Source organism: Homo sapiens, chromosome 10 (genome assembly GCF_000001405.40).
Source record: "Homo sapiens chromosome 10, GRCh38.p14 Primary Assembly".
NCBI lineage: Eukaryota > Metazoa > Chordata > Mammalia > Primates > Hominidae > Homo > Homo sapiens.
The window spans coordinates 117,153,158-117,169,889 of NC_000010.11; the positions used below are offsets into that span (position 1 = coordinate 117,153,158).

Genomic DNA, 16,732 nt, shown 5'->3' on the forward strand with positions numbered 1-16,732 from the left:
TTAATTTTGGCACCTCTCCAAGCCACCTTTTCCTGCAGTGACATTTTCCTTCCAGATGTCCTATCAGGAGTTCTAAAATTTTGCATTATTGCTGTTATTCACTAAATGTAACTAAACCTGCTTTACTAACACTAATACAAACAGTTAACACTAAAATAGTATCCTAACGGTCTTACATATATTAACTCATTTAATCTTTGACCACAACTCTACGAGGCAGGGACTATGACTAACTCCATTTAACAGGTAAAAAAACTGAGGCAAACAGAGGTTAAATGATTTGTCCAAGGCCAGCCAGCTGGTAAGATGGTGTGTATGTCAGTCTGCTGGGGCTGCCACAACAAAATACCACAGACTAGGTGCTTAAACAACAGACATTTATTTTCTCATTGTCCAGGGGCTAGAAATCCAAGATCAGGGTGCCATTAGAGTTGGTTTCTAGTGAGGGCTTTCTTCTTGGCTTATAGATGGCTGTCTCCTCCTTATGTCCTCACATGGCCTTTCCTCTGTGCCCATGAGGAAAGAAAGAAAGATCTGGTGTCCCTCTTCTGAAAAGGACACCAGCCATATTGGATTAGGGGTCCACCTTTATGACCTCATTTAAACTTAATCTCTTCCCTAAAGGTTCTGTCTCTAAATACAGTCATATTGGGGGTTAAGACTTCAACATATGAATTTTGGAGGAACATAATTCAGTCCATAACAGTGTGGAATGACTTTTTTTTCATTCATTCATTTACTGAGCAACTAAGAATTGCCACTCTTAGGTTAAATGGCTGGAGACATAGCAGTGAAAAAGGCAAACATTGGCTTTGTTCTTAAGGACTTTTTTTTTTTTTTTTGAGACGGAGTCTCCCTCTGTCTCCCAGGCTGAAGTGCAGTGGCACAATCTCAGCTCATTGCAACCTCTGCCTCCAAGGTTCAAGTGATTCTCCTGCTTCAGCCTCCTGAGTAGCTGGGATTACAGGCATGCACCACCATACCTGGCTAACTTTTTTGTATTTTTAGTAGAAAAAGGGTTTCACCATGTTAACCAGGCTGGTCTCGAGCTCCTGACCTCAAGTGATCCGCCCACCTCAGCCTCCCAAAGTGCAGGGATTACAGGCGTGAGCCACCGTGCCTGGCTTAGGAATTTAAGTCTAGAGGGAGAGGGTAGCAGCAGGCAAGGAACAGGTAAACACATCAATCAGCTGGATAATTCAGACAGTGTTAAGTGCTACAAGGTCATAGAATGTGTGACTGGGACTGTTTTGGCCAAGCATGTGCAGAACCAGGGAAAGAGATTCCCAGGCAGAACAAAGACAAGGGCAAGGGCCTTGAGGCAGGAATGTGTAGCATATTAGAGGAACCGAGGAAGGCTCCTTTGGCTGAGTCAAGGAGAGAGTGAAAGAAGAGCTTGGAAAGGAAGCAGGCAACAGGCCATAGAATGGCTTCGTAGGCTACGAGAGGGAGTTTATATTTATTCTAAGAGCAATGGGCAGCCACAAGAGTTTGCGATCTGATCAATGCTTTTAAAAGACCCCTGTAGCAGTGTAAAGATACCTCATAGCAATGTAAGAGTGCAAATAGGGACCCCAGTGAGGAGGCTCTTCGTTCGTTCACCCAGCAAATATTTAAGGAGCACCTACCTGCCACATAATGTGCTGAAACCCACTCTCAGGGAGCACAGAGCCTCCTGGGTTGCAGGATGGGACCTCACCTGCCATATGTGCTCCTAGTGCGGGATACTTCTAATCTTCCACTGAAATGTCAAATGAATCAAGACATTCCTGAGGGCTAAACTTTGTGGTCCAGGCTGCCTGTGGGGAAGGAGGTCAGAAGAAAGAAAGCGCTGGCCGGGGTGAGAGCCAGACTGTGCCCATGGCAACTTTGAAGATGTGGAACTCAATCCTGGCATTCAAAGATGAGCATAGGAGAGAAGCAGGTGCCTTTCTTCCAATGGCTGCAGAACCATGTCTAAACACCTCCCCATGCACATATGTATTTATAAACAACACTTCAGGCTGAGCACCAGCTCATGCCTGTAATCCAGCACTTTGGGAGGGAGAGAAAGGAGGATCGCTTGGAGCCAGGAGTTCCAAATCAGCCTGGGCAATGTAGTAAGACCCCTGTCTCTATAAAAAATTTAAAAAATAGCTGCACGTAGTGTTGCACACCTGCAATCCTAGTTACTCAAAAGGCCGAGGCTGGAGGATCACTTGAGCCCAGGAGCTTGAGGCTGCTGAGAGCTACAGTTGCACTACCACGCTCCATCCTGGGTGAGAGAGCAAGGCCTTATCTCAAAAAAAAAATTTTTTTTTAAAGAACACATGATACTGTTAGAGTACTTTCAAATATAACTACATAAATGTCTCATGAAAGTACACATAACAGATGTGCTGGTTCCTTATGTTTTCCATCTGAATAAATACAATGCTCCTTCAGTTTAGACCCAACCAGGAAACCTGTACCATAGCCCTGCCTGACTCTACGCTTCCCCTTCCACCCTCAGTCAAGGGCGGCTGGGGAATGTCCTGATGCACAGGCAAGGGGCAGAAGTGCGCAGATGCAGCCCATAGCTAGAAGGTAGACATGGCAGGACCTGCTGTTGGATTGAGTATGAGGGAAAGGGGAATCCAGGATGACTGCAAGATCTACAGAGGACAAAGGAAATACACATTGAGGGGGAGTGGAAACAATTAAGATCTAGGCACTAGCTTAGCTACTAAGAGGCTGTTTGATTCTAGGCAAGCATTTCTCTGTCTAGATCTCAGTTCCTCATCCCGAAAATGAGACTTCTAAAACTCAATAACTGGCCGGGCACGGTGGCTCACGCCTGTAATCCCAGCACTTTGGGAAACTGAGGTGGGCGGATCACTTGAGGTCAAGAGTTGGAGACCAGTCTAGCCAACATGGTGAAACCTCGTCTCTAGTAAAAATAAAAAATTAGCTGGGCATGGTGGCGGGCATCTGTAATCCCAGCTACTTAGGAGGCTGAGGTAGGAGGATTGCTTGAACCTGGGAGGTGGAGGTTGCAGTGAGCCAAGATTGTGCCACTGCTCTCCAGCCTAGACAACAGAACAAGACTCTATCTCAAAACAAAAACAAACAAACAAAAAACCTCAATAACCAAACTATATATGTTATAATATTTAATATCCACCAAAATTTATAGAATGAGATGACAAACATTTGTATAACCACCACTGAGCATAAGACACACAGCACACCAATGGAATTGAAGGCCCTCTGTGTACCCATTCCTATGGCACTCCCTCCCTCCTGCCCCCACCCCAGATAGAATGATACTACCATGCTACTAAATCTGGCATTTATTATCTCAAGTGCCCTCTTAAGGTTTAATAATAATTCTGTTAATTTTATGATTTGACAAGACCTCTTAATTTTTTGGCGTAATTGACTTGTAGTTGACAGAAATCTTCCATACCTACCATCTCATCTGATTTTCACCAAAATCCTATGAGGATGTGCTAAGCTTGGGAAGATTCTCTCCAGCTTTTCATATGAGCAAAGTGAGGTTCCGAGTGTGATATGTCATAGCACTTAGCATCCTGACCACGTTTCATCGCATTTCATGCTTTGTTTTCCATTGCTAGTTATTTTTTCATGTACCTTTGTATCCATCACTAGACTGTAAGTTCTTGAGAGCAGTGATCTCTCTCCTGAAGCTGTGGCCAGTGTGGTAACGTTACAGGGCTCAGGCTTCAGTAAAAATAAATAAATAAATACCCAGTGATGAGGGGAAAGTAGCCCACGTTACGGAGAAGCTTCTGAAGCCTGAGATAACACAGATAAGGTATGTAGAAACTGGACCTAAAGAGAGGAATAAGACACAGGATGCCCAACAGAGTATGACGGAGCTCCACGGACTGGAACCCATGACACAGCATGCTGGCAAAATTTGGCTGTTATAAGTCACGCCCCTGATGTTTGAAAAGGCAAAACAAGGAAGTTTTCGGAAGAGCTGTAAGAAAGCAGAAGGGTTATCCGGTTCACTTGTTGCCATAATCCTGGACTTTCTGCAAACACATCATACACCATGACATCATGATGTGTAATGGGATCATATCACAAAAAACCAATGTAATGCCATCAAAAGCATGACCCTTTAAGAATATTTCAGAATTCACACATTTAGGACTAGGGAACTTTAAGGAAATGGTATTAAAGACAGCCATGATCTACGGCTGGGCGCGGTGGCTCATGCCTGTAATCCCAGCACTTTGGGAGGCCGAGGCGGGCGGGTCACCTGAGGTCAGGAGTTTGAGACCAGCCTGACCAACATGGAGAAATCCCGTCTGTAGTAAAAATGCAAAATTAGCCGGGTGTGGTGGCACATGCCTGTAATCTTAGCTACTTGGGAGGCTGAGGCAGGAGAATTGCTTGAACCCGGGAGGCAGAGGTTGTGGTGAGCCGAGATCACACCATTGCACTCTAGCCTGGGCAACAAGAGTGAAACTCTCTCTCTCAAAAAAAAAAAAAAAAAAAAAAAAACAGCCATGACCTTAAAAATTTTGTCTCACTCAAAGCTGGAGTGGATCTCTTTTGTTCCATAGACTTCTCTGAGCCTCCCAATCCATCAGTAGGGAAATGAGAACTTCTTACAAGCCATTGTAAGAACTTCTCCCCTATTTCAGGCATTCCTTATGAAAGCTTTTTTTGTCACATGTCTGATATCCTTAAGGAAAAATAAAACGTGTTGGCCTTAATGATTTCAACCTCTTAGACTTAAATGGAACACAGTAATATGCCAGTTAATTTCTGCTTGTAGGTTCCCAAGTAGGGCTTAAAAATATATTCTAGCTTTCTCAACTATTTTTCATAAAGAAGAATCATCATGACTGTGAAGACCACTGTGATTTGTGGAATAAATCCATAAATGTATAACCCAAACAGATCAACTAAATGAAGCTTCCCTCGAGCATGACAGTAAGTCGGCTGGGCTCTAGGAACAAAATGTGTAAGCACAACACTCACAGAGTGGATATTCTTTCAAGTGATAGAGACAGGGTTGGGAAGGACTCTAGAGTTAGAGCCTTCCATGGGCAGTGCTGTTTATTGTATACACAAATAATAGTGACAATCGCTAATATTGACTGTGGAATGCTTTACATGCACCTTGTCATTCACACTTTCTTACAAATAATGGGGCACTATTCCTTTTATTTCTTCTACTCTTAGAAATAACAGAAGCTCAGAGTGGTTAGTAACTTGCTCTATCACCTAGAGAGCAAATGGGGGAGCCAGGCTTCAAATGTGGGTGTGTCTGCCTCCTGATCCCCAACTCTTAAGCATTTTGCCATTTCATCTTTCACCAAGGCTCTCCTGCTCTCCAGCATGATCTGGGCTCTGAACTGTTTCTCCACTAGCCATCTGAGGATAGGTTTCCACCAATTCAGCCACCGAGCTGCTGGAGACGGGGGTTATTAGATTACCATCTCAGAGCAAAACAAAATCAGTATAAAATCTTAGCCTCATTAGCATGGGACTCAGTCTCCTCAGGTAGCCAGTCTTGGCCATTGATTTTTTATTATATGCAGCAGTTACATTTCAGTTTCTCAAGTTACTCATAGCTACATATGAGTAATAAAATGATAGCAACAACTGGAGTGATGCTAACCATTAGTTTGCCTTGAGTCCAAGGACAAAACAAAGTCTTAAGTGTCCTACTCACTCCTTAGCTCCAAAGTAAACAAGTCTTTCTGCTACTAGTACTGGATTAAGCTTCATAACATTGTCCAGGTGAAAGTACTTAGGGCTGGAGGCCTGTGTAGATGCTTGTAAAGAGGGAGATGCTTTGGCAGATTAAACCCATTCTGTGGGCTTGTTCTATTTTCTGGAAAATCTCAAGTATGACAAAATAGCTCCAACGAGTTATTGTTCATCAACATCTGTCATAAATGTTAGAAATCTTGGCATCATTTATCTCTATCTCAATCTCATCTCTATCTACATTTATAATTTACTTATGTATTTAAAAAGAAATAGAAAAAAACACCCTGGTCTAATGGAAAACATCTCAGCTCTAGTGGTTCCCAACCTTTTGGGGTTTGAGAATCAACAACACAATGTTATGAAACCTTTTGGGGTTTGCTATTCAATAACAAAACAAAAAAAGATAAAACAACTATAAATAAATCCTATCTGGCTGATTTAAATTATAGAGCTCATGCAGCTTGAGCAAACCCTCTTCCCTTAGCCATGGTGTGATTCCTCTTGATTGAGAATCGAGTTTCTAGGCTACTTCTCAGAGAATGAAATTACAAAACACAAGATAGCAGATTTTTAAAAAATTGTCACCAGGTATCCCTGCTGGATATCAAGTGACTGGGTCAGAAACTCAGTTGGAAACTCTGCTTAAAGAAGAGCGGAACAAATCCCCCTTGCCTGGGAGGCCAAACAGAGCATTGTTTTAGTTCCGTAGGAGATAATGACAATGGAATAAAACATTGTCCCGGGTAATGGTCTCCCGCTGGTAGGGAAATGCGTAGGCAAAAACAAACAAGGGGCTGAACTGCTACCTTCTTTTTAAAGCAAAAACTGTTGATCCTGGAACTGAGTACCTCCTAGCAGCTTCCATTTGGTTATATTAAGTCTTACATTTGGAGGTGCTCTGGGCTGGGGTGTCGCTGGGTAAATAGGGGGCAGGGTACAGATGTTAAGAGAGCCGCTAGCTCTACTGCTTCTGAACTGCTGGCTTCAGAGATAGGCTTAGGGGACCATTTTGAATTTCATCAGCCACTGGACAAAACAGGCTTTCCATAAAAACACAATCACCACTTCATGCTTTGCTGCCAGCTGAGATCTCCCTGCTGCCATATTCCACCCTCATGCCACCCATTTTATGACTGCCGATTAGACTGATATATATTGTATTGGTAAAGTTCTGCATTTCTTGAAAAGAAAACCTTTATAAAATAAAGAAGAATGAAGCCAATAATCCATTCATTTGACACAGAAAGTCAGCACTTTCCGATCTTTCTCCTTTTTTCCCTTGCAAGATAATATAATATGTAGAGACTGTCTAATGTGTCTCTCAAAACAAGATTTAAATCAGAGATCAAAAGTGGGTAGTGATTTAAAATTCTAAATTTTGGAAAAATAGCAACTATCCTTTCATTTTTGAAACAAAAATAAATGAAAATTCAGGGCCAAAGTCGTCCTTCTGCCAACTGGAGCTTCTGTAGAACACACAGCTCAGACTCTACCACACAGATGGAAAATAGTCCGAATGCATGCTGGCAGTATTCTTTCATTCCACGAACTTCTACAGTTTCCTTTAAAGCAGCATGGCATTCAAAAGTTGAGGTCCAATTCATCTTTGCTGTTAATGAGGCATTTTACAAGTGTATTTTTTTTTCTTGGGAAAAAATTTTGAATTGGGTAAAACAAATGGCAAGTGGATATTTAAAAACAAAAACAAAAACAAAAACAAAAACAAAAAACACCTCCTTACTTGGACTGGTGATTGACTTGCTTAGAATTCTCTGGGCCAGCATTTCATTTCCTGATGGCTGCCATTTCCCCTCCCATTCCAAGTTCTCTCTACTTGGGGCTGACACAGGACGTGGAAATACTAATATGGCTGCTGGGACTCCTTTCGTGTATTTCAGCAAGAGAATTATTTCGTATCAGTGCTCAGTGTCTCTCCAACTTTTCCATTTCCTCTAAGGTCAGGTTTCCCTACAAAGAAGAACGCCATATCGATTGTTAGTAACAGGAACTAAGCATTTGGGGGCCAGACACACAACTTTTCTGTTTCATGGTGTCACTGGCAGAAGAGGATCCTGGCCTGAATACACATTGGAAAGAGGCAATTTATATTTTTATTACAGTCATTAATCTGATATTTCTAATTTAAAAACATTCATTTGGAAAAAACTCAATGATGAGACAAAACAGTGTTTTTGCCCTGTTACCTGTATGTAATTATCTCAGTTTTCTCCCTCACCTTTGTGGCTTGATGAGGATTCCCTGGTTAAACGCAACTCCAGTACGTAATAAAGGGCATCAGTTACTTTTGAAGGTGCTTTGGCAATGTGGTCACTAATGTAAGTAACCATCACAGAAACCTCAAGTCGAGAGAATAAATGGGAGAATAATAAGCAGAGAGAACTAGCATAGGGAAAAAGTTAAGGGGGGGAGGTAAAAATTTGGTGGAAACAGAAAAACTCTTTAATGTGGATGCTAAGGAACAAGATCAAAGTATAAGAATTTGGATTAGGCAGGATCAGTTCAAGTTGTTAATAAAAATATGTGGGAAGAAACGAAAGCAAACAGTTCTCGGATCAGTCTCCAGGTATTCAGGGCTGGCCAAACACAACGAGAAGTGGAAAAGGGGTGATAATTAGTAACAAATATGAAGGTGTGTAGACACTTTGGGCAATTCCGATCTTAACGCCTCCTCTTCCTCAATATCACAGTGCTTCATGCAAAACAAGGGACTGCTTAGAATTCTGTCTTCAGCCTTCATGAATCTGGTCAGGAGTTTCTGCATCTTCCTTACCTTGTCAGCATGCTCAAAATATTTAATGCGATGACCTCTCACTCAGTAGGCATGGGATGCCTAAACCTGTATCATTTCAGCCTTTGCCCTAAAGCAGAGTTCTTCAGTAATGCAAAATTTCCTATATGAGAACTTCTGCTTCAACAACAGTAAGGTCCCAGGCACACAAGGAAATGCCCAATGCAAAGAATCTGGCAGGAAAATGAATGGTTGTGAAGATTGGGCTCCAACTCCTTTTAAAAAAGAGTTCCAGGAACATGTTTACTGTGTAATTTTGCCATGAGAAAGTTCATGGGAACCATTTTCAAGTCTCAGGAAAGTCTATTTGGTAAGGTAGGAAGTTTGCAAGTTCAGAGACTATTTTTTTTTAAAGAAACAAATTTCAATCACTTTAATAAACACTTTAAAAGCAATTTATGATAACTGTAGCCTTCCAATGACTAGGGCTACACTGAACTTTCCAAGCCGAAACATTCATCCTTGTATTCAGGAAAAGTCCTCTCAACAATTTGGAAAAATATTAAAAATATGAAAGCAATTGAAAAATCACTTTCACCTGTGCAATATCCTTCTTTCATGAATGTCTCCAATTACATAGCTAGGGTTACAGATTTTCACAAACACAGTTTCATTTTTGATAGTTATGTAGCTGTAATTTCAGGCCATTTCACTCTATTGAAAGGTACGGGGGCTGCCTTTGCCCTCTCTTCCTCCTGTCGCTTAAACCATCCAAGAAAACATCAAGAAATTAAATAAGAAGGGAAAACAAGAGGTAGAGATCGTATTCAAAAGACTGGAGTCCACCACATGAGAAGAATCAAGTTTGTAACCGCTGGGGTTACCTCCCTGCTCTGTCTTCCATCTGGGCAATGGGCTAACATCCCCGGGCTGGGGGTGTCTGAGGAGGATGAAGACATCCTCAGCGCTGCAGAGGTGCTAAGAAAACAGCCAGCTGTCTCCTGACTTAGAATTTTTGAAAGCTTTCGGGCCTCTCTGAGAAAGCCGTTCCAAATCCACCCCGTATCAATTTGCCTTCTAGAAGCGGCAGGATAAGCACACGGGTTTGGGCAGTGCTCACATTTTGGGTTTATTGGCTTGATGGGGTTGTTTGGGGCGCTCTCAGTTACAAACTGCAGAAGAGTGGGGGCGGGGGACAGGATGGGGAGGAAAGGGTGGGCGAAGGAGCCGAGAGTAAGACAAGCCGAAGGGTGGAAACTGCGGGAGGGAGAGGAAACGCCGAAGGCGATGTAGAGTCCTGCGAGGGACCGGGAGAGGTAGGGAGGGATCCGAGCCGCAGTCCTGAGGGAGAGCGACCGCGCGCCCCGCAGCCGAGCTGGGTCCCTTCGCCCCGCCCGGAATCCCGGCCCCCGCCCGCCCCACGCAAGTCCCCGTGCCCCCTCCGGGAGGTGGGAGTCGCCGGGACTCTGCGCTCCGCCAGCCTCCGTCTGCTGGCCGGGTCCGGGATCCGCACCCGGAGAGGCTGAACCGAGGCTGAACCGAGGCGGACGCAGCCCCGGGTCGGTGGCTCGCCTGGCCGGGTGGGGTGGGAGCGATTTTCTGGCGGTGGCGTTTGCAGGAGGGGAGGAGACAGCGCCACCCAGGGCCTCCCCGAGCACTGCCGGCCAGGCCGGGCTCGGGGGCCGGAGTGAGGGTGCAGGTGGGGCTCCGGGTTCTGCTTCTTGAAGGCGGCGGCGGGGCGAGAAATGCAACCGCGTGGGCCCCGCCTGCTCCCCCCGGTCCTGTCTTTCCTCGACGCTCGGGAGGCGTCCCGCAGCCCCCTAGTCGCGATGCTCTCAGGTCCCCGGCGTGGACCAGCACGTGGGCCCGGGAGTCGAGTGGGGACGAAGGCATGTTGGCCGCCTCAACTTCCTGCGCCGACGGCTGGGGACGCGGAGAACCCTCTCCGAGCTGGGGTCCCCGCCTGCTGGGCAACCTCACCTCAACGTCTGGCCTGGCCTGGGGCCGCTTGGACTCGGCAGCGGCTGCACTCCTACAGAGCCCAGACGCGCCTTCTCGCTTTTTCCTTTCTGGGCCGGGGCCCTAAACTCCCGGAACTCGCCGCAAGAGGAGCGTTGAAAACAAAAGGGACAGCCCAAGCTGTCCCGCCCGCTGCGCCCGAGGAGCATCCCCTTGGCGCTGCAGGCTGTCGCCTCCCCCAGCACCTGGCGGGGCGGGTGCCAGGCTGGGCCTCTAGACGGTTTCACCGCTGCTTATCATTTCTCCTTCATTTTGCAGGGGCAGGGGAGCTGCCCCTCCCTTCGGAGAAAGGCCGCGCCTGCACCCAAAGGTAACCCTCGGGTGACCCCGGGAGCGGGGCTGTCTGGCCTTGGTGCGAGACCCCGGGCGGGGGGTCAGAGGTTTCTGTTGCATCAGAGAAACACGGCAGCGTCAAAAAGAAAAAGCTTCCAGTGGGTCTGGGCCTAAAGCTATTTTTATTTAAGTCTCAAATTGTCTAGTTTGCCATTTTGCTTCTATTTTTTAAAAAATTATTTCTCAGTGGCATGGGGGAGGGGAGATCAAAGGTGACGGATGGGTATCTCTATGTTGGTGTCAAGTATGCCTTCATGTCTGTCGTTTCTTCAGCAGTTGTCCCAGTACCGTCCACATAAAGTATCTTCTTCCAAGGACCCGTTGCAATAAAACGGGATATTTCTATTTGGACCGTTCTATGTCAAAGAAGGTTGGCAGCAGCGCCAGGCTTACCCATGATTAAAGGGGGACATTTCCTACAATAAGGTAGAGTCAATGCAGAACCCACAAGCTCATTGATTTCCATCCCTGTGTCGTCAGCTTGTTCACTTTCTCCTAAGATTATGACAATAGTAGTAATAATAATAACCAGGACACAAATAACTCTTGAGAGGTCACTTGTAACTACCTCTTCTTGGAGGTGAGAAACACACACATGCATACACACATACACCCCTGTGGACTTATGGTTTATTTTTGTCAGAGGAACTTAGAATTGCCTGAGGTGGTGTGTGTGTGTGTGTGTGTTTTTTTTTTTTAATGATTTATTTACAGACTTGCTAATGCCTCCGCAGAAATCCTGTTTATCAGCCCAATAGTTGTGACAGGGTTAGAAAACCAGTTTAAACTGTTAATCGGCCAGAAAAAGGGCCCTAGATTGATGCCTTTCACTTACCTTTGAAAGGCTATAAAAGCAACGCCATACATTGGGATGAAATTAGACAGCGACAAAATCATTACCTTGACTTCCCACAATAAAGACAACCTTAAAAGGGGGCTATTGATGGTTTCAAATTACATAACGGTGGTTTATATGTTCTTCCTCTGCGCTCACAGAAAGCAATTTTAAAGTGTGAATTCTTCAAAGAACGGGCAAAGCATTCACACACAGACATGCGTTTTTATTTTATGTATTGCAAAGCGCTATGAGAGAGAGAGAGAGAAACCAAAAACAAAAATCCCAGCAAAAGGAGGCCGAGTCCAAAGAGAATATGTCCGGTTTCTATTTCACCAAGCTCCTGGACTCACATTTGGCCCCGGAGCCGAGTGCTCGGTCTCTTTCCCCGGGACGGGACAGGGAGTGGAGTTCCTAGCCCCTTGGGTGGGAAAAGCCCCGCGCACGTCACCGGGTCCCGTCTGCTCACTGCTTCTGCATATTTTAAGCCTGGACACAGCCTCCTTTAGGATAGAAAGGCATTTCCCAAACAACACCGATTCTGGGGGTGTAGTGGGCCTGGCGCTGGGTCCTGGAGAGAAGGTTCAGCCCCCCTTCTCATCCCTGTACTTTGGGGATGGCTCGTACTTGGACAGGGGTGGGCCTCCGCCTTCTCCGCCTTCTATCGGACCTTTCTTCGGATGGATTTCTACGTAAACTCGGAAGGCGATCAAATGCAGGCGGCCAACCTCCAGCGCTTTTTTTTTTCCTCTCAAAGGCGGCGCCTGCATTTTTGGGGGCTCCAGCCCAGGCTGAGAAAGTCCCCTCAAACCTCTACTCTGAGGTTGCTCACACGGCCTGCAAAAACCCGACGGGGCACCCCGCCACCCCACCTTACGTTTCCCTAGGGCCAAGTCAGTGGTCAAAAACCAACCCGGTGGTAGCTGCCTTTACCAAGGAAAGACAGCCAGGACGCCCGCACCGACGGCAACGCGCGGACAGAGAGGACCGTGCCCTCTTTCGCATGTTACGGGGCGAGGGGGCTGTTGGCGTCAGGAGCGCCCTGGGAGGAACTTCGTAGCGGATTCGAGAGACAGAGGGAATTCAGCAAACTTGCTGCCCCGGGCTGCCGGCTGGAGCCCGGCAGATTCGCTGCGCAGCACTGCCCCCTGGTATCCAGCGCCGAAAGTGCCCCCCTCCGCAGCTGCAAGGCTCCTCCCTGGGCTGCGCGGGACAGATTTTTTCTCCTTTCCTGGCTACACGCCTAACAGAGAAGCTATCCCGAGGGACCTCAAGAAGTCCCCCCAAGCCGTACTCAAAAGCCTTTCTCCCTCCTCCTCAAGCGCTCACTTCCCCAAAGAGGACCCGGACCCCTGACTGCCTGAGCCAGGTCCCCAGCATGGTCCGCAACCCTTCTCGACTCCGGCATCCACCTCCAGGCTGACGTCTACCCGGGAGGGGGCTGGGGACCCAAGGAGACTTCGACTACAGGCCCAGGCGAACGGAAGGAAGAGGCTTGCGTTCAGAGAGACACGTTTGGAGCTGGGACTGTTCATTCTTTAAGGAACACCAGCTTCCAGGGCATCTTTCGTTGGCACCTTGGCTTTCCAGAGAAGAAAGGAAGTGGGTATCAGGGCCAGCCCCTCCTCGCACCCCAGGCTGGAGAGGTGCCGAGGTGCTTAGTCACTCAGTCCAAGGGCACCTGAGAGATGGGGGCAAACTTGGCAGGAGCTTGAGCACGGAGGCGTGATCCGCGGGGGGCGCAGGCAGGGCGGGGCCCAGAGCCCCCTTCCGCCAGCCCAGCCTGCCCCTTCCAACCCAACTTGTCTGGCACTGGCTTCTACGGGTGCCGAGAAGACTGCTGTCGTGGGCACAGGGTCCTCGACCCCAGGACGTGCGTGGCCTTTCCCACCCCAACCGGATGGTTTGTCCCAGGCTTTGAGACTGAGCTTGATAGAGAGGTAGGAAGGAAGCGGCGCCAGCTCCGGAGCCAGAGTGGGTTGGAGTCCCAGCTTGGCCACCCTCTAGCTGTGTGACCTTGAGTGAGTTACTTCGCCTCTCTGAGCACCAGTTTCTTTGTTTTTTTTTTTTTCAGGAATGGTGTGAGGATTGAGGTAATGTCCTTAGGATGCCCACATGTGTTCAGTCAAGGTCGGTCGTGATGGTTGCCGGCGTCCGCTGCAGGAAAGGCCCCCAGGAATCAGCTTGTAGGGTGGGCGCCAGCCGGTACTGCACAGGGGCATCGCGGCCTCCGGTTTTAGAAGGGGCAGAAACAGCGCAGTGTCCTCAGCCCTGAGGGCTGAGTGTTGGAGGTCCCGACGCTCCTGGGTTCTCTTCTGCCCGGGTGCAGACTACAGCAGGTGCGCAGGGCTTCGCACACCTCTGCTGTGGGAAGTGAGTCATCTTCGCTTATGATTGCATCTGGCCAGGCCAGCTACGAGAACACTGGGCCTCACAGCTGCCACGTATCCAGCCTTAACCTGTGCCAGGCACTGTGCTAAGAGCTATGCACCCACAATCCCACTTCTTCACAACAGCCTCGACCGAAGTAGATGTTTAAGTTTTTAAATTTCCATTTTACAGAGCAGGAAACAGACTCAGAGAGGTTAACTTCCCCCAAGATCACACAGCTGGTAAGTTGGAGAGCGGGGACTTGAACTGAATCTTCCTTGGAGGCCAAGCTCTGAACCACTAAGTTGGGTGGCATTAGAGAGCCAAGCTCTCGCCCTTCGGTTTCCATTCACGCTACCCTCTCTGAGCCGCAATTCTCTCTCCTGCGTTGGCACTGGCAGAAGTTGAGACACGCTCCCAGGAATCGCGGGCCGTGGCGCGTACTTCCACGCACCCCAGCTAGTTCCAGAGACTCAGCTTGTTCTGAGATCCTCTTGTCGAGCCCCCTTGGTCCCGGCGCCCGGCCTGTGTGGTGCTCAGATCAGACTTATCCACCCGAGCACCACGCAGACCAGCGCCTGGACCAAGGTCCCGGGAAGGAAGCCCTCCTCCCCTTCTCCTGTGGCTTAGCTCAGCGATCAGGGAGGAGCCAGTTAAGAAGTCACAGTCGAAGCCATGACTGCTGTGTCCCGGGGAGGCAGTGGAAGGCGAGGAGCACGGAGCGGGGATACCGCCGGACAACCCCTCCCCGCCGCCCCGTCGGCGTCCTCGCTGCGCAGGGGCTCCCTTGCTGCCCCAATCTAAAAGGAAGCCGTCGCGGCCCAGGGCACGGTAACTAAAAGGCCGTCGGGGAGGGAGACGGGAATGAGTGGGCTTGGACTTGAGGTTTCCGAGCCAGCTGCTCCCTAGAGCCGTTCCTGAGCTCGTCAGCCAGCACGTATTTAATGAATGGCCACTGGGTGCTAGGCCTTGCACGCAACCCTTTCGTCCTCCCCCGGGGCTGAGCCGAGGGTGACCCAACACTAGTCGGAACGAGCCTGGAGACATGGCGCCGGGGCTGCGCTCTGCAGGCCTGGCCTGGTCGCTCTCCACGCACCCCTCTCTCTGTAGCTGCCGCCCCGCCCGGCTCTGCCTGTGGGCGCCCCCTGGCGGCAGGAAGCCGAGCGCGCACCACGCCCTCGGGGCTCCATCCCCACTCACCCCGGCGCCTCTAGCCGCTCCACCCGCACCCCCAGTTCGCGCTGCGGCGGCCAGCCTCTTCCCCGACGGCCGACCGAATGTCCCTCAGAGCTTTCCGTGACCGGCCAGGGCGCGTGGCTGTCCGGAGCCCCTCCACGTTCCCCAGCAGCAGGCCCGGCTCTCTCTGATCAGCGAGCGCGGATGCCGGTCTCCTCCCTCCCTCTGCCGGGCTCCAGCCCGACGCCAGGCCGCTGGGGGCAAGCGCTGTGCTTTGGAAGAGGAGAAAAGCCCCAAATAAACAAAAACCCAAAGCCCATTCAAGTTCAGGGGTGGAGAACTGTTGGCATCTGAATTTTAAAAAGATCGCCGGGACTCCCAACCACCACCAAACACCCTCTTGTCCACCCCCCCCCGCCCCCGACACCATCCCACCCCACACACCCCACGCCCGCGTCCCGTGAACCGAACCGCCAATGCGCCGCAACCTTCTCGGCAGTCACACCTGTGTCCCCGATGCCATCTGCCCACGTCTGTGTGTGAAGCAAACCCCGCTGGCAGACGGGATGGAGAGAGATGGCTCCTCCAAACCAGAATTAGGAGGAAAACCCCGCTGAGGGCGTTTCAAAAACCCAACAGGCGAGCGGGGAAACCTGCATTGTCAGACCTGCTGGGCCCTGAGTTCTAGCCCCATGCACCGCGCCGAGCTAATTCTCCCGGCGACTCTCTGAGGGGTTATTACCACGTAATAATTGATGAGGACACTAAGGGCTAAGAGGAGTCAATTAACTTGTCCCTAGTTACAGAGTTGGAAGTCAGGGATGGATCTTAACTGGTGGGGCTGTTCCGAGGGCCTGTGAGAGACTGGGTTTCAGCCCAGAGCCCAACACAGCGCCGGTAGAGAAAGTATCGGGTACATTTTTGCCTGCTAATCCGGCGGTAGGAAGTCAATTACATCTTTGATGACTCAGATTTTTGAAACAGCCCCATACAACTTCCAATTACGGGGGCAAATATAATTGTGAAAGTCTATGGGATTTGGAGATGAAGGAGTAGGCCATCAAAACATAACCCAGAACTTAACTTGTTTTGGAAAAAAACATTTTATGGAAAATTTCCAACATATAGGAAAGAAAAGAGAATATTATAGTGAACTCCCATGCACCTGTCCCCAACCTCCAAATAACGAAGGCAAATCTATTTTATGGTCAATCTATTTCCTCCCCTCCTTCCCACGGACTCTGCCTCCCCAGCTGTCAAAACCTACACACACACTGCTTCCCCTATTCACACAGATTATTTGGAAGTAAAACCTGGACCTTGCCACACTTAATCTGCAAGCATTTCAGCATGTACTGTCAAGAGATGACCACATTACCAAAACTACAATAGCATCAACACAACCACAATACCAAGATATACCCACAAACTTCACATTCCTAAACACCCTGGAGTATCCAGCTGGCTGAAGCTTTATTTTAACCACAATTCCTGGCTAGAGCTTGGTTTTCACTGAGTTTCAGCTCTAGGGCCAG

General features: G+C 48.6%; 1 long non-coding RNA gene and 1 other non-coding gene across 3 annotated transcripts, besides 2 other annotated features; both read right to left on the reverse strand.

Moving 5' to 3' along the window:
- Positions 1-363: 363 nt before the first annotated feature.
- Positions 364-15,898, reverse strand: MIR3663HG (MIR3663 host gene). Of its 2 annotated transcripts, NR_121651.1 has the most exons (3): positions 15,703-15,898; positions 7,457-7,683; positions 364-506 (listed from the first exon to the last, which is right to left on the reverse strand). It is a non-coding gene; the product is annotated as an MIR3663 host gene (long non-coding RNA). The 2 variants fall into 2 exon arrangements; NR_121650.1 differs by lacking the exon at positions 364-506 and having other exon boundaries at positions 5,499-7,683.
- Positions 6,203-6,959: an enhancer, noted in NCBI's record as "OCT4-NANOG hESC enhancer chr10:118918871-118919627 (GRCh37/hg19 assembly coordinates)". NCBI's record gives its function as "activates a minimal SCP1, AML or CMV promoter by ChIP-STARR-seq in naive and primed H9 embryonic stem cells {active_cell/tissue: H9 hESC(naive and primed)}" and the evidence as "EXISTENCE:reporter gene assay evidence [ECO:0000049][PMID:30033119]".
- Positions 12,436-12,990: an enhancer, noted in NCBI's record as "H3K27ac-H3K4me1 hESC enhancer chr10:118925104-118925658 (GRCh37/hg19 assembly coordinates)". NCBI's record gives its function as "activates a minimal SCP1, AML or CMV promoter by ChIP-STARR-seq in naive H9 embryonic stem cells {active_cell/tissue: H9 hESC(naive)}" and the evidence as "EXISTENCE:reporter gene assay evidence [ECO:0000049][PMID:30033119]".
- On the reverse strand, positions 14,521-14,617 carry MIR3663 (microRNA 3663). The gene has a single exon (NR_037436.1). It is a non-coding gene; the product is annotated as a microRNA 3663 (primary transcript).
- Positions 15,899-16,732: the final 834 nt, after the last annotated feature.